The 16317-nt window shown below is 34.5% G+C and overlaps 1 pseudogene; it reads right to left on the reverse strand.

Moving 5' to 3' along the window:
* Window positions 1-13857: 13857 nt before the first annotated feature.
* On the reverse strand, window positions 13858-14277 carry POMPP1 (POMP pseudogene 1; annotated as a pseudogene).
* Window positions 14278-16317: the final 2040 nt, after the last annotated feature.

A 16317-nucleotide genomic window follows, 5' to 3' on the forward strand; every position in this document is an offset into this window, starting at 1 on the left:
GCAGCACATCAAAAAGCTTATCCACCATGATCAAGTGGGCTTCATCCCTGGGATGCAAGGCTGGTTCAATATACGCAAATCAATAAATGTAATCCAGCATATAAACAGAGCCAAAGACAAAAACCACATGATTATCTCAATAGATGCAGAAAAAGCCTTTGACAAAATTCAACAACCCTTCATGCTAAAAACTCTCAATAAATTAGGTATTGATGGGACGTATTTCAAAATAATAAGAGCTATCTATGACAAACCCACAGCCAATATCATACTGAATGGGCAAAAACTGGAAGCATTCCCTTTGAAAACTGGCACAAGACAGGGATGCCCTCTCTCACCGCTCCTATTCAACATAGTGTTGGAAGTTCTGGCCAGGGCAATCAGGCAGGAGAAGGAAATAAAGGGTATTCAATTAGGAAAAGAGGAAGTCAAATTGTCCCTGTTTGCAGACGACATGATTGTTTATCTAGAAAACCCCATTGTCTCAGCCCAAAATCTCTTTAAGCTGATAAGCAACTTCAGCAAAGTCTCAGGATACAAAATCAATGTACAAAAATCACAAGCATTCTTATACACCAACAACAGACAAACAGAGAGCCAAATCATGAGTGAACTCCCATTCACAATTGCTTCAAAGAGAATAAAATACCTAGGAATCCAACTTACAAGGGATGTGAAGGAACTCTTCAAGGAGAACTACAAACCACTGCTCAAGGAAATAAAAGAGGACACAAACAAATGGAAGAACATTCCATGCTCATGGGTAGGAAGAATCAATATCGTGAAAATGGCCATACTGCCCAAGGTAATTTACAGATTCAATGCCATCCCCATCAAGCTACCAATGACTTTCTTCACAGAATTGGAAAAAACTACTTTAAAGTTCATATGGAACCAAAAAAGAGCCCGCATCGCCAAGTCAATCCTAAGCCAAAAGAACAAAGCCGGAGGCATCACACTACCTGACTTCAAACTATACTACAAGGCTACAGTAACCAAAACAGCATGGGACTGGTACCAAAACAGAGATATAGATCAATGGAACAGAACAGAGTCCTCAGAAATAATGCCGCATATCTACAACTATCTGATCTTTGACAAACCTGAGAAAAACAAGCAATGGGGAAAGGATTCCCTATTTAATAAATGGTGCTGGGAAAACTGGCTAACCATATGTAGAAAGCTGAAACTGGATCCCTTCCTTACACCTTATACAAAAATCAATTCAAGATGGATTAAAGATTTAAACGTTAGACCTAAAACCATAAAAACCCTAGAAGAAAACCTAGGCATTACCATTCAGGACATAGGCGTGGGCAAGGACTTCATGTCCAAAACACCAAAAGCAATGGCAACAAAAGCCAAAATTGACAAATGGGATCTAATTAAACTCAAGAGCTTCTGCACAGCAAAAGAAACTACCATCAGAGTGAACAGGCAACCTACAACATGGGAGAAAATTTTCGCAACCTACTCATCTGACAAAGGGCTAATATCCAGAATCTATAATGAACTCAAACAAATTTACAAGAAAAAAACAACCCCATCAAAAAGTGGGCGAAGGACATGAACAGACACTTCTCAAAAGAAGACATTTATGCAGCTAAAAAACACATGAAGAAATGCTCATCATCACTGGCCATCAGAGAAATGCAAATCAAAACCACTATGAGATATCATCTCACACCAGTTAGAATGGCAATCATTAAAAAGTCAGGAAACAACAGGTGCTGGAGAGGATGTGGAGAAATAGGAACACTTTTACACTGTTGGTGGGACTGTAAACTAGTTCAACCATTGTGGAAGTCAGTGTGGCGATTCCTCAGGGATCTAGAACTAGAAATACCATTTGACCCAGCCATCCCATTACTGGGTATATACCCAAAGGACTATAAATCATGCTGCTATAAAGACACATGCACACGTATGTTTATTGCGGCACTATTCACAATAGCAAAGACTTGGAACCAACCCAAATGTCCAACAATGATAGACTGGATTAAGAAAATGTGGCACATATACACCATGGAATACTATGCAGCCATAAAAAATGATGAGTTCATGTCCTTTGTAGGGACATGGATGAAATTGGAAACCATCATTCTCAGTAAACTATCGCAAGAACAAAAAACCAAACACCGCATATTCTCACTCATAGGTGGGAATTGAACAATGAGATCACATGGACACAGGAAGGGGAATATCACACTCTGGGGACTGTGGTGGGGTCGGGGGAGGGGGGAGGGATAGCATTGGGAGATATACCTAATGCTAGATGACACGTTAGTGGGTGCAGTGCACCAGCATGGCACATGTATACATATGTAACTAACCTGCACAATGTGCACATGTACCCTAAAACTTAGAGTATAATAAAAAAAAAAATTAAAAAAAAAAAAGAAAATCTATAACCTTATAATAATATCACATTTTGTCTGATATTTGGATCAGATTAAGAAAGACTTGCTTTGTCCTGCATACCATGCTGTTGAGGATCCCATCTTAATGAGGAATTTGGCTCTTTTTATAGGAAACAGAAAATACCTCATTCTAAGGCATATACACAGCAAGGACCTGAGGAGCTTGTGTACTTCATAGAATCATGAACTCAAAGGATAAAAAGGCAAATTAAAAATTATCCTATCCAGGAAATCCCAAGTAGCAGTATGCATACTATCTACATATAAGCACTTAGTCAATTGATTATAAAGTCAGACTGCCTCAGAGTCTCTGAGGGTAGAGCTTGGCAAACAGATTTAAGGAGAATAGGTAACTTGCTCAAGATGACATTGTAAATAGAGAGTGGAGTCAGAATTCACATTCAGATCCAGCTGAGTAAAAAGCTTATTCTATTAACCTAATTAATTGGTCTGTAAAAAGGATTTCCATAAGCTAACTCAAATGGGGCAAACCTGGGTTAAAAGGAAAAAAGCACCTGACCTAGCTTCAAACATCACTTCACCTCTGGAGGAAGTTGGAAAATATTCTAGCAGAAATACAAAATTGGTTTATTGGATTGCTTTTTGAGAAAAGAAAACTTGAGTAGCCTACAAATATAAGGGGCAGATTAACCAAATAGCAGCTGCAGCCATGTAGCCAAAAAACAAAGGGCATTTTCTCTGGCTATATAATTTGCAGAGCCCAGTGCAAAATGAAAATGGGATTCTCCTTGTTCAAAATGCAGGGAAAAAGTACCATTAAAATAATTAAAACATAAAATTTTTTTCCTTCTTTTGCCATCTCTCTCTCTAGATGTGTAATAGTGTTTATTATTTGCTTTTTATTGTGGCTATATATAAATACAAATTAAAATTTTAAATATTAGTGTGAAGTTTACAATTAATCTTTGTATTGTGCAATGACAGATTTAAATGCAAATATCAGCATTTAAATATAAGCATTTAAATTCAGATATAACTCATATGTGAAATCACCTATATTACACAATTCTTATTTTATAGCTTGTACATGCACATATGTTTTGTTTTTACAAAAGCGGTGGAAATGCTGCACAAAACCAACTCAACTGTTGTTATTACACCGCCTGACACAGCATACATTCTAGCAACATTCTCTACTTTTGGCTCCCTATTGAGGAAGAAAGGACTGAAAACTAATATATATATCATATACTATATGATATATATAATCTGTATATTATATAATATATAATGTATATTATATAATATAGAATATAGAATATTTTTATATTTTATATTATATATATGTATATAATTATATATGTATATATGTGTATACATGTATATGTGTATATGTGTATACATATATATGTGTATACATGTATATGTATATACGTGTATACATATATATGTGCATACATGTATATGTATATATGTGTATACATATATATGTGCATACATGTATATGTATATACGTGTATACATATATAATATATGTACATATATGTATATGTGCACACATATATAATATATGTACATATATTATATATGTATACACATATATAATATATGTACATATATTATATATGTATACACATATATAATATATGTACATATATGTATATGTATGTACATATATGTACATATATTATATATAATATATAACGTATATACGTATATACATATATACATATATATGTACATATATTATATATAATATATAACATATATACGTATATACATATATACACACATATATACACATATATATATATGGCTTGCTGTGTCTTTCCCTTTCATTCTATGTCATCATTTCTAGGAAAAGTGGTTGGCTAATAAAAGAAAGTAACATGAATAAGAAAGAATATGATAGTTTTTTTTTTGGTTATTCTTGTTTATTAGAACACCATTGCCTTCTTTCTGCATTTGAAGCAAGTTCTGGTGCAAAAGAAAATATTGCCCGTAAGGCCTGTCAGAGACTAGGCTTACTCAGTTATAATAATGTTAATGCACATACCTTGTATTTGTTTTGAGTCTTACTGACCTACTACATATCATGTGTCCATCATCCTCACAAGTTCTGTATGCAAATTGGGTAGCAAGAAATGATAGACACTCATATTGTGCACATTTCCTCCTCTCACACACATGCACCATTGTGCTATTGGTCTTCACTTAGAAAACTTTGAATATAATTCACAGATAAAGTTATTAAGAATTCCAAAATACTGACAGCAGTGCACATTTCCTCTGCTCACACATATGCACCATTGTGCTATTGGTCTTCACTTACAAAACTTTGAATATAATTCACAGGTAAAGTTATTAAGAATTCCAAAATACTGACAGCAGTGCTTTAAACCAACCCTAGGGTCCATCTGTGTATGGCTGTCTTATGCATCTACACAGGATGGATACTCATGACATCAATCTGTGTGTGTGTATATAGCCATGAATAGGAGTCTTTCCTCAGAAGAGGATCAGAGTTTGAGGTCTTTGGGGCTCTCATTGAGGATCATAACTTCTATGTTGGACAAAGGAGACAAAGGTAAACAAAGTACACGGTCAAATTATATTAAACTCCAAATTCAGGGAAGAAAGGGTCTAGTCAATTCTACATTTATATCTACCTTTTGTAAGTATGCTCTGTGCTGAAAGTCATGAGGAAACATAGGAACAAAACATTCTGCCTTCAAGGTATTGAGAGTTTAATGTGGCTGTTAGACTTCTTTAACACATCTTGGATATATTATAAAGCAGAATATATTGAGTGTTATTCTAGAAAAACGAACGATTAAAGAAATTTCAAGAATAAAATAATTATTTATTATTTTGAAGACTGAAAAAGCTTCATAGAGGAGGTCGCAATATTTGAGGTAGGATTAAAGGATGTTGCTATGGCTTGAATGTCCCTTACAAAACTCATATTGAAGTTTGTTATTCTGATGGTATTAAGAGGTGGGACTGTTAAGAAGTGATTAGATCATGAGGGCTCTGCCCTCACAAATGTATTAATGTTGATATCATGTTCTCTTACTTTCTTTCTCTCTCTCTCACACACACACACACACACACACACACCTCCTATGGGATAATGCAGCAAGAAAGTCCTCAGAAGATGCTGGCACCTTGACCTTGGTTTCCCCAGCATCCAGAACTCTAAGCCAATAAATTTCTACTTTTTATAAATTACCCAGTCTGTGGTATTTTATCTTAACAGCACAAAATGAACTGATAGATATATAGCATTGCAATAAATTGAGTCAGAGGAGGACATTTGACACAAAAAAAATATACCTAGGAATACATTTAATCAAGGAGGTGAAAGATATCTGGAAGTACAATTAATTACAAAATTCTTCTGAAGGAAATCAGAGATGACATAAACAAACAGAAAAACATTCCATAATCACAGATTGGAAGACTGATATCATTAAAATGGCCATACTGCCCAGAGCACTCTAAAGATTTAATACTATTCATACCAAACCTCCAATGCCATTGTTCACAGAATTAGAAAAAAAAATTGCAAAATTCACATGAAAGCAAAAAAGAGCCCAAATAGCCAAAGTAATTCTATGCAAAGAGAACAAAGCTAGTGGCATCACCTTATCTGACTTCAAACTACACTATAAGGCTACTGCAATGAGTACAGCATGGTACTGGTACAAAAACAGACACATAGATCAATGGAACAGAATAGAGAACCCAGAAATAAAACTGAACATCTACAACCATCGAATCTTCCACAACGTTGAAAAAAATAAACAATGGAGAAAGGACTCCCTATTCAATAAATGGTCCTGTGATAACTGGCTAGACATATGCAGAAGAATTAAATTAGAACCCCATCTTTCACAAAAATATACAAAATTATACAAAATATACAAATATTATACTATTTACTTATACTACTACTATACACTATTATAGTTTTATTATAATATACACTACTACTAATACACTATATAATACTACTATGTACTACTGTAGTGTAATTACACTAATACTACTAAATATTATTTGTAAATTATTTGTAAATATACAAATAATTTACAAAATATAAATACACAAATAATATACAAGAATAACTCAGGATTAATTAAAAACTTCAATGTAAGACCTCAAACTATAAAAATCCTAAAAGAAAACCTAGGAAATATAATTCTAGACATCAGCCTTGACAAATAATTTATGACTAAGTTCCCAAAAGTAATGGTGACAAAATCAAAAACTGAAAAATGGGACTTGATTAAACTAAAGATCTTCCACAGAATGAAATAAACTATAAACTATCAACATAGTAAGAAGATAACCTAATAATGGGAGAAAATATAATATTCACAAACCATCAAGAACTTAACTCAGCAGCCAAAAAAATTTTTTTTAAAATTGGCAAAGGGCATGAACAGGCACTTCTCTTTTTTTTTTTTTTTTTTTTTTTTGAGACAGAGTTTCACTCTGTTGCCTAGGCTGGAGTGCAATGGCACGATCTTGGCTCACTGCAACCTCAGTCTACCAGGTTCAAGTGATTCTCCTGCCTCAGCCTACCAAGTAGCTGGGATTACAGGCATGTGCCACCACGCCTGGCTAATTTTGTATTTTTATTAGAGACGGGGTTTCTCCATGTTGGTCAGGCTGGTCTCGAATTCCGGACCTCAGGTGATCCACCCACCTCAGTCTCCCAAGGTGCTGGGATTACAGACGTGAGGCACCGCGCCCAGCATGAACAGGTACTTCTCAAAAGAAGACATATACATGGTGGCCAACAGACATGAAAAAATTCTCAACATCACTAATCATCAAAAAATGCAAATCAAAACCACAATGTGATACCATCTCACACCAGTCACAATGGCTATTATTAAGAAGACAATAAATAACAGATGCTGAAGAGGCTCTGGGAAAAAGAGAACACTTACACATTGTTGATGGTAATGTAAATTAGTTTAGTCATTGTGGAAAGCAGTTTGGAGATTTCTCAAAGAACTAAGAACAGAATTACCATCTGACTCAGCAATTGCATTATTGGGTATACACCCAAAGGAAAACAAATCCTTCAAACAAAAAGACATGTGCACTTATATGTTAATTGCAGCACTATTCACAATAGCAAAGGCATGGAATCAACCATGGATGGACTGGATAAAGAAAATGTGGTACATATACACCCCGGAATACTACACAGCCATAAAAAGTAACAAAATCATGTATTTTGCAGCCACATGGTGCAGATAAAGGCCATTATACCAAGCAAATTAATGCAGAAACAAAAACCAAATACCACATGTTCCCACTTTCAAGTTGGAGCTAAACACTGAGTAACCAGGAACGTAAAGATGGGAACAATAGACTCTGAAGACTACTAGAGTGGGAAGAAAGCAGGGAGGGCTGAAAAATTACCTATTGGGTACTGTGCCCACTACCTGGGTGACGATATCATTCGTATTTTAAATCTCAGCAACATGCAAAATTCCCATTTAACAAATCTGCACATGTACACCTAATTCTGAAATAAAAGTTGAAATTACTTTTAAAAAGTCCAATCACAAAAGATCAAAATAGAGGAGGGCATTTGAGGCTGAGAGAGGAGCATAAATAAAGGAACAGCATATCTTAGAGGCTGGGACATCAACACATGTGATTAGAAGTATATGGAGTAAGGGAGTAATTTGCGGACTGTATTAGATTGGCTGCCATAACAAAATACCATAGACTGGATGGTTTAAATATTTATTTTTCTCACAGTTGTGGAGACTGAAAAGTTTAATATCAAGGTACCAGCTGATCCAGTATTTAGTTCCTCGTAAGTATTTTCCTCTTGGCACATAGACAGTTGCCTTCTTGCTGTGACTTCACAAGACAGAGAGAGAGAGAGGAGAGAGGAGAGAGAGAGAAACACAAATTCTCTGGTATCTTTTCATATAAGAGCACTAATCCCATCATGAAGGCACCATTCTCATAACCTTATCTAACTCTAATTGCCTCCCAAACACCTCCTTTCCAAATATCATCACATTAGGGAATCAGGCTTCAATTAATGAATTTGCTGGCATGGGGCACACAAACATTCAGTCAATAACAAAGAAATGCCACCAGAGATATAAAGAGGGTCCAGATTCGTGAGAGCTTTGAATACTACACAAAGCATTTGGGTAGCTGCTGCTGATTTTTGAGCAACAGAGCAACAAGTTCAGACTGATGATTTGTGAAGATAATTTTGATTTCGGTGGGAAAGATGGGTTGTAAGGAGAGGAACCAGAACTATTGTGATAGTCTAGGAAAGAGGAAATGAAGATCTGAGCTAAAGGCAATGGCAGTAGGAATGAAACAAGAAACAGATATAAGAAATCTGAAGGGACTAGCTGACTAATTTAATGTAAGAACTGAGAAAGTGGTGCAAGATGTCTTTGAGATTAATTGAATTTGCAGGTAACAAGATTAACAAAAGACCCATTTATCTTAATAGTTGTTGAAAATCTTTCCAGAATGTATGAATCTCTTTTTCAGCCTTAGTGGCAGAGTCTAATGAAAATAATCCAATCATTTTTGTGGTTGAAAACTCACAGGTTTTGGGGGGCATTTTTCAGAAAAATTAGTTCATATCATAGAAGTCTATAAATGTAAATATGAGCAGACAAAGTTTGAATATACTTTTAATATACTGAGTCCCAGACATCTTGGAGGTTTGTGTTTCATTTTCTGTACTTATTGCTTTAGCTTGTTTTGCTCCAAAATTTGAAGTAGCAAAAATTTCAATTTAATCAGTGATTTGAAGTCACTAATTTTCTGCTCCTTTTGCTATAGACTCAATTTAATTAACTTTAAGTTTGTAACAGATCATAGGACATTAAAGCTATTTAAGTATAAATATATTTTGATAAAAATTTTCATTTCTCTTAAAAAGAGGAATTTCATTAAAATATTTTCTGTATCTTATGAGTGATTTTATATCCATCCTAACTCTAAATATATTGACAACATAAATTTATCTGATTTGATATTTAAAGTGAAATGAAGTTTTCATTTAGCAGAATTTTAATACATAGAAAATTTAGTTAACATGTTTCAATTATGAAATTAACCCTGCAGATAGGATTCTTTTTCTGTTTTAAAACTAAACAACCAAATACCACGTATTCTCACTTGTAAGTGGGAGCTAAGCATGGAGCACACATGGACATAAATATGGTAACAACAGACACTGTAAACTACTAGGCGGCTGTGGGGACGAGCTGGGTTAAAAAACTACCTATTAGGTACTATGCTTAGTATCTGTGTGACAGGATCTCTACTCCAAATCTCAAAATCACGCAGTATTCCTATGTAACAAATCTACACATGTTCCCCCTTTATCTAAAATAAAAGTTGAAAGAAAAAATGATTAGCTGGGAAAAGAAAATACTAAACAATAGCATCTGGGTACAATGCAATTTTTAAAAGGTTCTTGCAGTCAAACATATGTAACATAAAATTGGCCATTTTAATCATATTTAAGTATACAATTCAGTGGCATTAATCACATTCACAATCTTGTGCAATAATCACCGTTATCTATTTCTGAAACTTTCATCACTCCAAACAGAAATACTGTACCATTAAGCAATGACTTTTCATTCATGTCTGCCCCTATTTTCTAGTAACCTCTAATCTTTCTAGCCTATGAATTTGCATATTCTAGATATTTTATGTAAATGAAATTACACAATATTTGTTTTTTAGTGTCTGGCTTATTTCACTTAGTGTAAAACTTTCAAGGTTCATTCATGTCATAACATGATTCAAAACTTTATTACTTTTTATAGCTGAATATTACTCAATTGAATGTACATACCATATTTGTTTATGTATTCATCTGTTGATGGAGACTTGGACTGCTCCTGCCTTTTCACTATTAGGAATGAGGCTACAATGAACATTGGCATACAATTACTTGTTTGAGTCCCTGTTTTCACTTCCTTTGGATATATACTTAGGAGTGGAATTGCTGGTTCATATGACAATTCTATGTTTAAATTTTGGAGGAACTATCAAACTGTTTCCATAGCAGCTGCAACATTTTACATTTCCATCAACAATGTACAAGGGTTCCAACTTTAGTGCACCCCCAACAACACTTGTTGTTTTCCTTTTTTTATTACAACCATCCTAATTGGTGTAAAGTGGTTTTGATTTGCATTTCTCTAATGACTAATGATGTTGAACATCTCTTTTATGCTATTGCCCACTTGTATATCTTTGGAGAAATATCTATTCAAGTCTTTTGCCCATTTTTTAATTGGGTTGTTTGGTTTTTGCTGTTGTTGAATTGTAGGAATTCTTTATCTATTGTCTATAATCTCTTAGGTATGTAATTTGCAAATATTCAAATATTTTCTTCCGCTATGTAAGTTGTCTTTTTACTTTTTCTCTTTTTCTTTTTTTTTTTTTTTTTTGAGATGGAGTCTCACTCTGTCACCCAGGCTGGAGTGCAATGGCACAATCTCAGCTCACTGCAAACTCCGCCTACCGGGTTCAAGCGATTCTCCTGCCTCAGCCTCCCAAGTAGTTGCGACTACAGGGACATGCCACCACGCCAGCTAATTTTTTTGTATTTTTAGTAGAGACAGGGTTTCACCGTGTTAGCCAGGATGGTTTCAATCTCCTGACCTCGTGATCCGCCCGTCTCGGCCTCCAAAAGTGCTTGGATTATAGGCGTGAGCCACCGCGCCTGGCCATCTTTTTAATTTCTTAATAATGTCCTTTGATACATGAAAATTTTTAATTTTGACGAAGTCTATTATATATACATTTTTTTTCTTTTGTTGCTCATGTTTTTAGTGCCATATCTAAGAACCCATTACCATATTCAAGGCCATGACAGTTTATCCCTGTGCTTTCTTGTAAGAGATTTTAGGTTTTTGCTCTTATATTTGGGTAATTTATCCATTGTGAGATTATTTTTGTGTACAGCTTAACATACGGGTACAACTTCACTCTTTTCCATGTGGAAATTTAGTTATTCCACTACAATTAATTGAAGAAACTATTCTTCCTCAATTGAATAAACTTGACACCCTTGTCAAAAATCAATTTGTTACAATAGGCACAAAAAGACAAATATCACTTTTTTTTCACTCGTGTGAGAACTAAAAAAAAAAAAAAAATTGATCCCATGGAGATGGTGAAAAAAATAGTGCTTACCAGAGGCTGGGAAATGTAGTGGAGAGTAGGGGATAAAGATGGGTTGGTTAGTGGGTACAAAAATACAGTTAGGTAGAAGGAATATGTTCTAGTCTTCTAGAGCACTGCAGGGTGACTATAGTTAACAAAAAATTATTGTACATTTCACAATAGCTAAAAGAGAAGACTTAGATTGTTTCCAACACAATCAAATTATAAATGTTTGAGGTGATGGATATCCAAATTACCCAGATTTTATCATTATGCATTCTTTGATTGTATCAAAGTATCACATATACCCCATAAATATGTACAACTATTATGTACCTATAAAATAAAAAATAAAAAATTAATTGGCCATAAATATACAGATTGGTTTCTGGACTCTCAACTATATTCCATTCGTCTATATGACTATCCATATTGTTTTTATTCCTATAGCTGTGTACTCGGTTTTGAAATTAGGAAGTGTGAGTCCTCCAACTTTGTTATCCTTTGTCATGATTGTTTTGGCTATTCAGGGCTTTTTGAAATTTCATATACATTTGAGAATCAGCTTTTTGATTTCTGAAAAGAAAGGCTGTTGAAATTTTAATAGGATTATATTTAATCTGTAGATTGCTTTAAGTAGTATTGGTATTTTAGCAATGTTAAATTTCTCAATCCATGAACATTGATGTCTTTCTATTTATTTAGGTATTCTTTCAGAAATATTTTATAGGTTTCCATTGACAAGATTTTCACCTTTTTGGTTAAATTTATTCCTAGATATTTTATTATTTGTATGTTATTTCAATGAAATTGTCTTTTTAGTTATTTATTGATTGCTCATTGCCTATCTGCAACTTTGCTTAATTAATTTATTAGGTCCAGTAGAATTTTTTTTGTGGATTCTTTGGTATTTCCTATTCATAGGATCATGTCATCTGTGAATATAGTTTTCCTTCTCTTATAATTTGGATTTTTAAAATTTCTTTCTCTTGTATATTTCCCTGGTTATGACTTTTAGTGTGATGTTGGATAGCAGTGATAATTTGAACATTCTAGTCTTGTACCTGATCTTAGGGTAAAAGCTTTCAGTTTTTCAGCATTAAATGTGATATTTCCTGTGAGTTTTTCCTATGTACCCTTTATCATGTTGTGGACATTTCCTTCTACCCCTAGTTTTCTGAGTTTCCTTATCATGAAGTTGTGTTGGATTTTGTAAAATGCCTTTTCTGCATCAATTGAGAGGCTCACGTGGATTTTTTAAATGCTCTTTACGTGTTGCATTCTGTTGACTGAATTTTTTATGTTGAACCATTTTTGTATTATTGGGACAAATCTCGCTTGGTTATGGTATACAACCCCCTTTTTTTTAACCTACATTTGCTGGTTGCTTTATTTAATTTTTCACTTTAAACACAAGACGAAAACCAAAACCTCTGAACTTGTACTCTTCAAATTGAAAGAGAATAGCTACAATTCTAAAATAGCATCAATACAGTAAATATAATTCTTAATAGTATTAATGGACTATACTGAAATATGTATAAATATCTCATATTGTACTCAACTTGAATAGTTGCCACTGAAATCAATTACAAATGTTTATTTTGAAAGGTGCTACTATAAAGTTTATAGACTCAAATGCTTACAATGGTTATTCAAATTTATAGAATACATAGACAACAGGTTGAACTTCAACCTGTGTACTATTTTATAATATTTATGAGCAACAATTTTTAAAGACATAGAAGGCCATCTTTAAATATAAATTAGAAGCATTAAAATAATGTCTTTAGTGACTTCAATTGTCACTTGGCCATAAACCAAACACCCCCAAAATTAAATTTCTTTCTTTTTTTTTTTGAGACGGAGTCTTGCTCTGTCGCCCAGGCTGGAGTGCAGTGGCATGATCTCGGCTCACTGCAATCTCCGCCTCCCGGGTTCACTCCATTCTCCTGCCTCAGCCTCCCGAGTAGCTGGGACTACAGGCGCCCGCCACCAAGCCCGGCTAATTTTTTGTATTTTTAGCAGAGACAGGGTTTCACCGTGTTAGCCAGGATGGTCTCGATCTCCTGACCTTGTGATCCTCCCTCCTCGGCCTCCCAAAGTGCTGGGACTACAGGCGTGAGCCACCGCGCCCGGCCGCAAAATTTCAAATGATCACTGAGGTTACTTGTGCAAAAATTCCCATGTGTCAGTACTTTCAAAGTTGTGTGCATCAAATTATAGTAAAAAGGTGACTATAAACAAGATGCAGCCCCTCTATTTTCATGAACAGCATATTGTGTTACAGTAAACTGAGTTTATATTCCACCAAGTGTCATTCTCCCATTACTTCACTTTGTGACAGATAAGAATAGCTTCAAATCTGGTAGTCTCTTCATTACCCCTCAAAATATCCAGTGAAAGGTTTGAGCTCAAAAGAAATGGAAGACATCGAACCTGCTGCACTGCCTTAAATTTCGATTTATAATTTTAGTGGAGCAAATAACCACTAAATGTTTCTCACTGTGGGAATATTCATTTTATCTCGGTTGAGTTGGAAATTCTCTTCTGAAAATTCAAGAGGATGACTAGCTAAAAGTTCATTTTTTACACACACAAAAAACACTTTCTGAAGATTATGACTTTCAAGAGATTCACTTGCTGAAAGTTCAGTAGCTGGAATACTGCCCTTTAGCTGAGATCCAGGTCGTCTGGCATCCATCTTCAGCCACTCTCTACAATCCTTTTAATATGCTGTTGGATTTGTTTTCCTAGTATTTTTCAGGGATTTTTGTATGTATGTTCCGACAGAATATAGCTCTGTGAATTTCTTCTCTTGCAATGTCTTTTCTGACTAGTATCAGAGTAATGCAGACCTTACAAAATAATTTAGAAAGTGTTTTCTTCTCTTAAATTTTTTGAAAAGTCTCAGAAAAATTGATGTTAATTTTTCATTAAATGTTTAATGAAACTCACCAATGAAGTAATCTGGTTCTGGACTTTTCTTCATTAGGACATTTTTTTATTACTGATTCAATCTCATTCTGTGTTATAACTTTGTTCAGATTTTTTATTTCTTTTTGAGTCAATTTTGGTAATGACTATGTTCCTAGGAATTTGTTTATTTCATCTACATTATCTGATTTGCTGGTGTGCAACTGTTCATAACATTTTCTTACAATTATTTTTATTTCTGTAAAGTTTTTTTGAAATATGATTTTTACATAAACTTATGTTAAAATATGTTTATTAGTATTGATGTACAATATTTTTTCTCCCTTTATAACTTTTCTGGATTTCTCAGTTTGTAATTCCTCCTGAAACTGCCTTTTACTTCTGTGTGTGTGTGTGTGTGTGTGTGTGTGTGTGTGTGTGTGTGCGTGTGTGTTGCATTACCATTTCTACTGTGGCGAGACTCAAGACAATATTCTTACTTAATTGAGAGTGCAGGAAGACATGGATTAGACCAGAAAAGCAGGACTTATTCCACTGACTCAAAATTTTTCTGATATCACCAGAGACGAGGTATTTCTCAGAAATATATTCTGTACCTAAACAGGAACTAATATAAGCATCAATTTTATACTATTGTACCTATCTTTTGGGGATTGTTGGCACTGGACATGAGATGCTCTTAGGTTGCATACACAGATGCAGAATTAACCATTGAATCTCTTAAACATAAAAGTGTGCCCTTTTCAATTTCATTTAAGCTTTCCATCAGGTTCGAGAGTTTGGAGTAAATACGTCTTTAACACGCCTCTCTAATGGCTAAGTTTTCTTTTCTTTTCTTTTTTCTTTCTTTTCTTTGTTTTTTAAGCTGCAGACAAACTTTCATTTATTTATTTATTTATTCATTCTTTTGTTTGTTCCACAGAGTTTTGCTGAGCACCCACTCCAAGCCAGGCATGTGCTAGGTGCCTGGGATAAAATACTGACTCACAAAGAGGAGGACCCTGTCTTAGGATGTTCTTATTATCAAAACTCAGGCAAGACTTCAGAATAAATATTAAAGTTACACTTGATTTCAAAGAGCTAAAACAGGTGATGTAGTCTATTTCAACAGCTTTTTTAAAAAATGAGACATGTAGCTAATCAGTAATGGAGTCTATATTCAAGCCAGATTCCACAATCAGTATTCTTTTATTTATTTGTTTATTTTATTTTTTTAAATTTTACTTTTAGTTCTGGGATACAAGTGCAGAATGTGTAGGTTTGTTACATAGGTATACATGTGCCAGGGTGGTTTACTTCACCTGTCAACTTGTCCTGTAGGTTTCAAGCCCCACATGCATTAGCTATTTGTCCTAATGCTGTCCCTCCCATTACCCTCCACACCCTGACTGGCTCCAGTGTGTGTTGTTCTGCTCCCTGTGTCCATGTGTTCTCATTGTTTACCTCCCACTTATGAGTGAGAATATGCAGTGTTTGGTTTTCTGTTCCTGTGTTACTTTTCTGAGGGTAATGGCTTCCAGCTTCATCCATGTCCCTGCAAAGAACATGATCTCATTACTTTTATGGCTGAATAGTATTCCATAGTGTATATGTACCACATTTTATTTATTCAGTCTTATCATTGATAGGCTTGGTTCCATGTCTCTGCTATTGTAAATAGGGCTGCAATAAACATACATGTGCATGTGTCTTAATAGTAGAATGATTTATACTCCTTTAGGTATATACCCAGTAATGGGATTGCTGGATCAAAAAGTATTTCTGGTTCTAGATCCTTGAGGAATCACTACACTGTCTTCCACGATGG

The sequence above is a fragment of the Homo sapiens genome, chromosome X, assembly GCF_000001405.40.
Source record: "Homo sapiens chromosome X, GRCh38.p14 Primary Assembly".
NCBI lineage: Eukaryota > Metazoa > Chordata > Mammalia > Primates > Hominidae > Homo > Homo sapiens.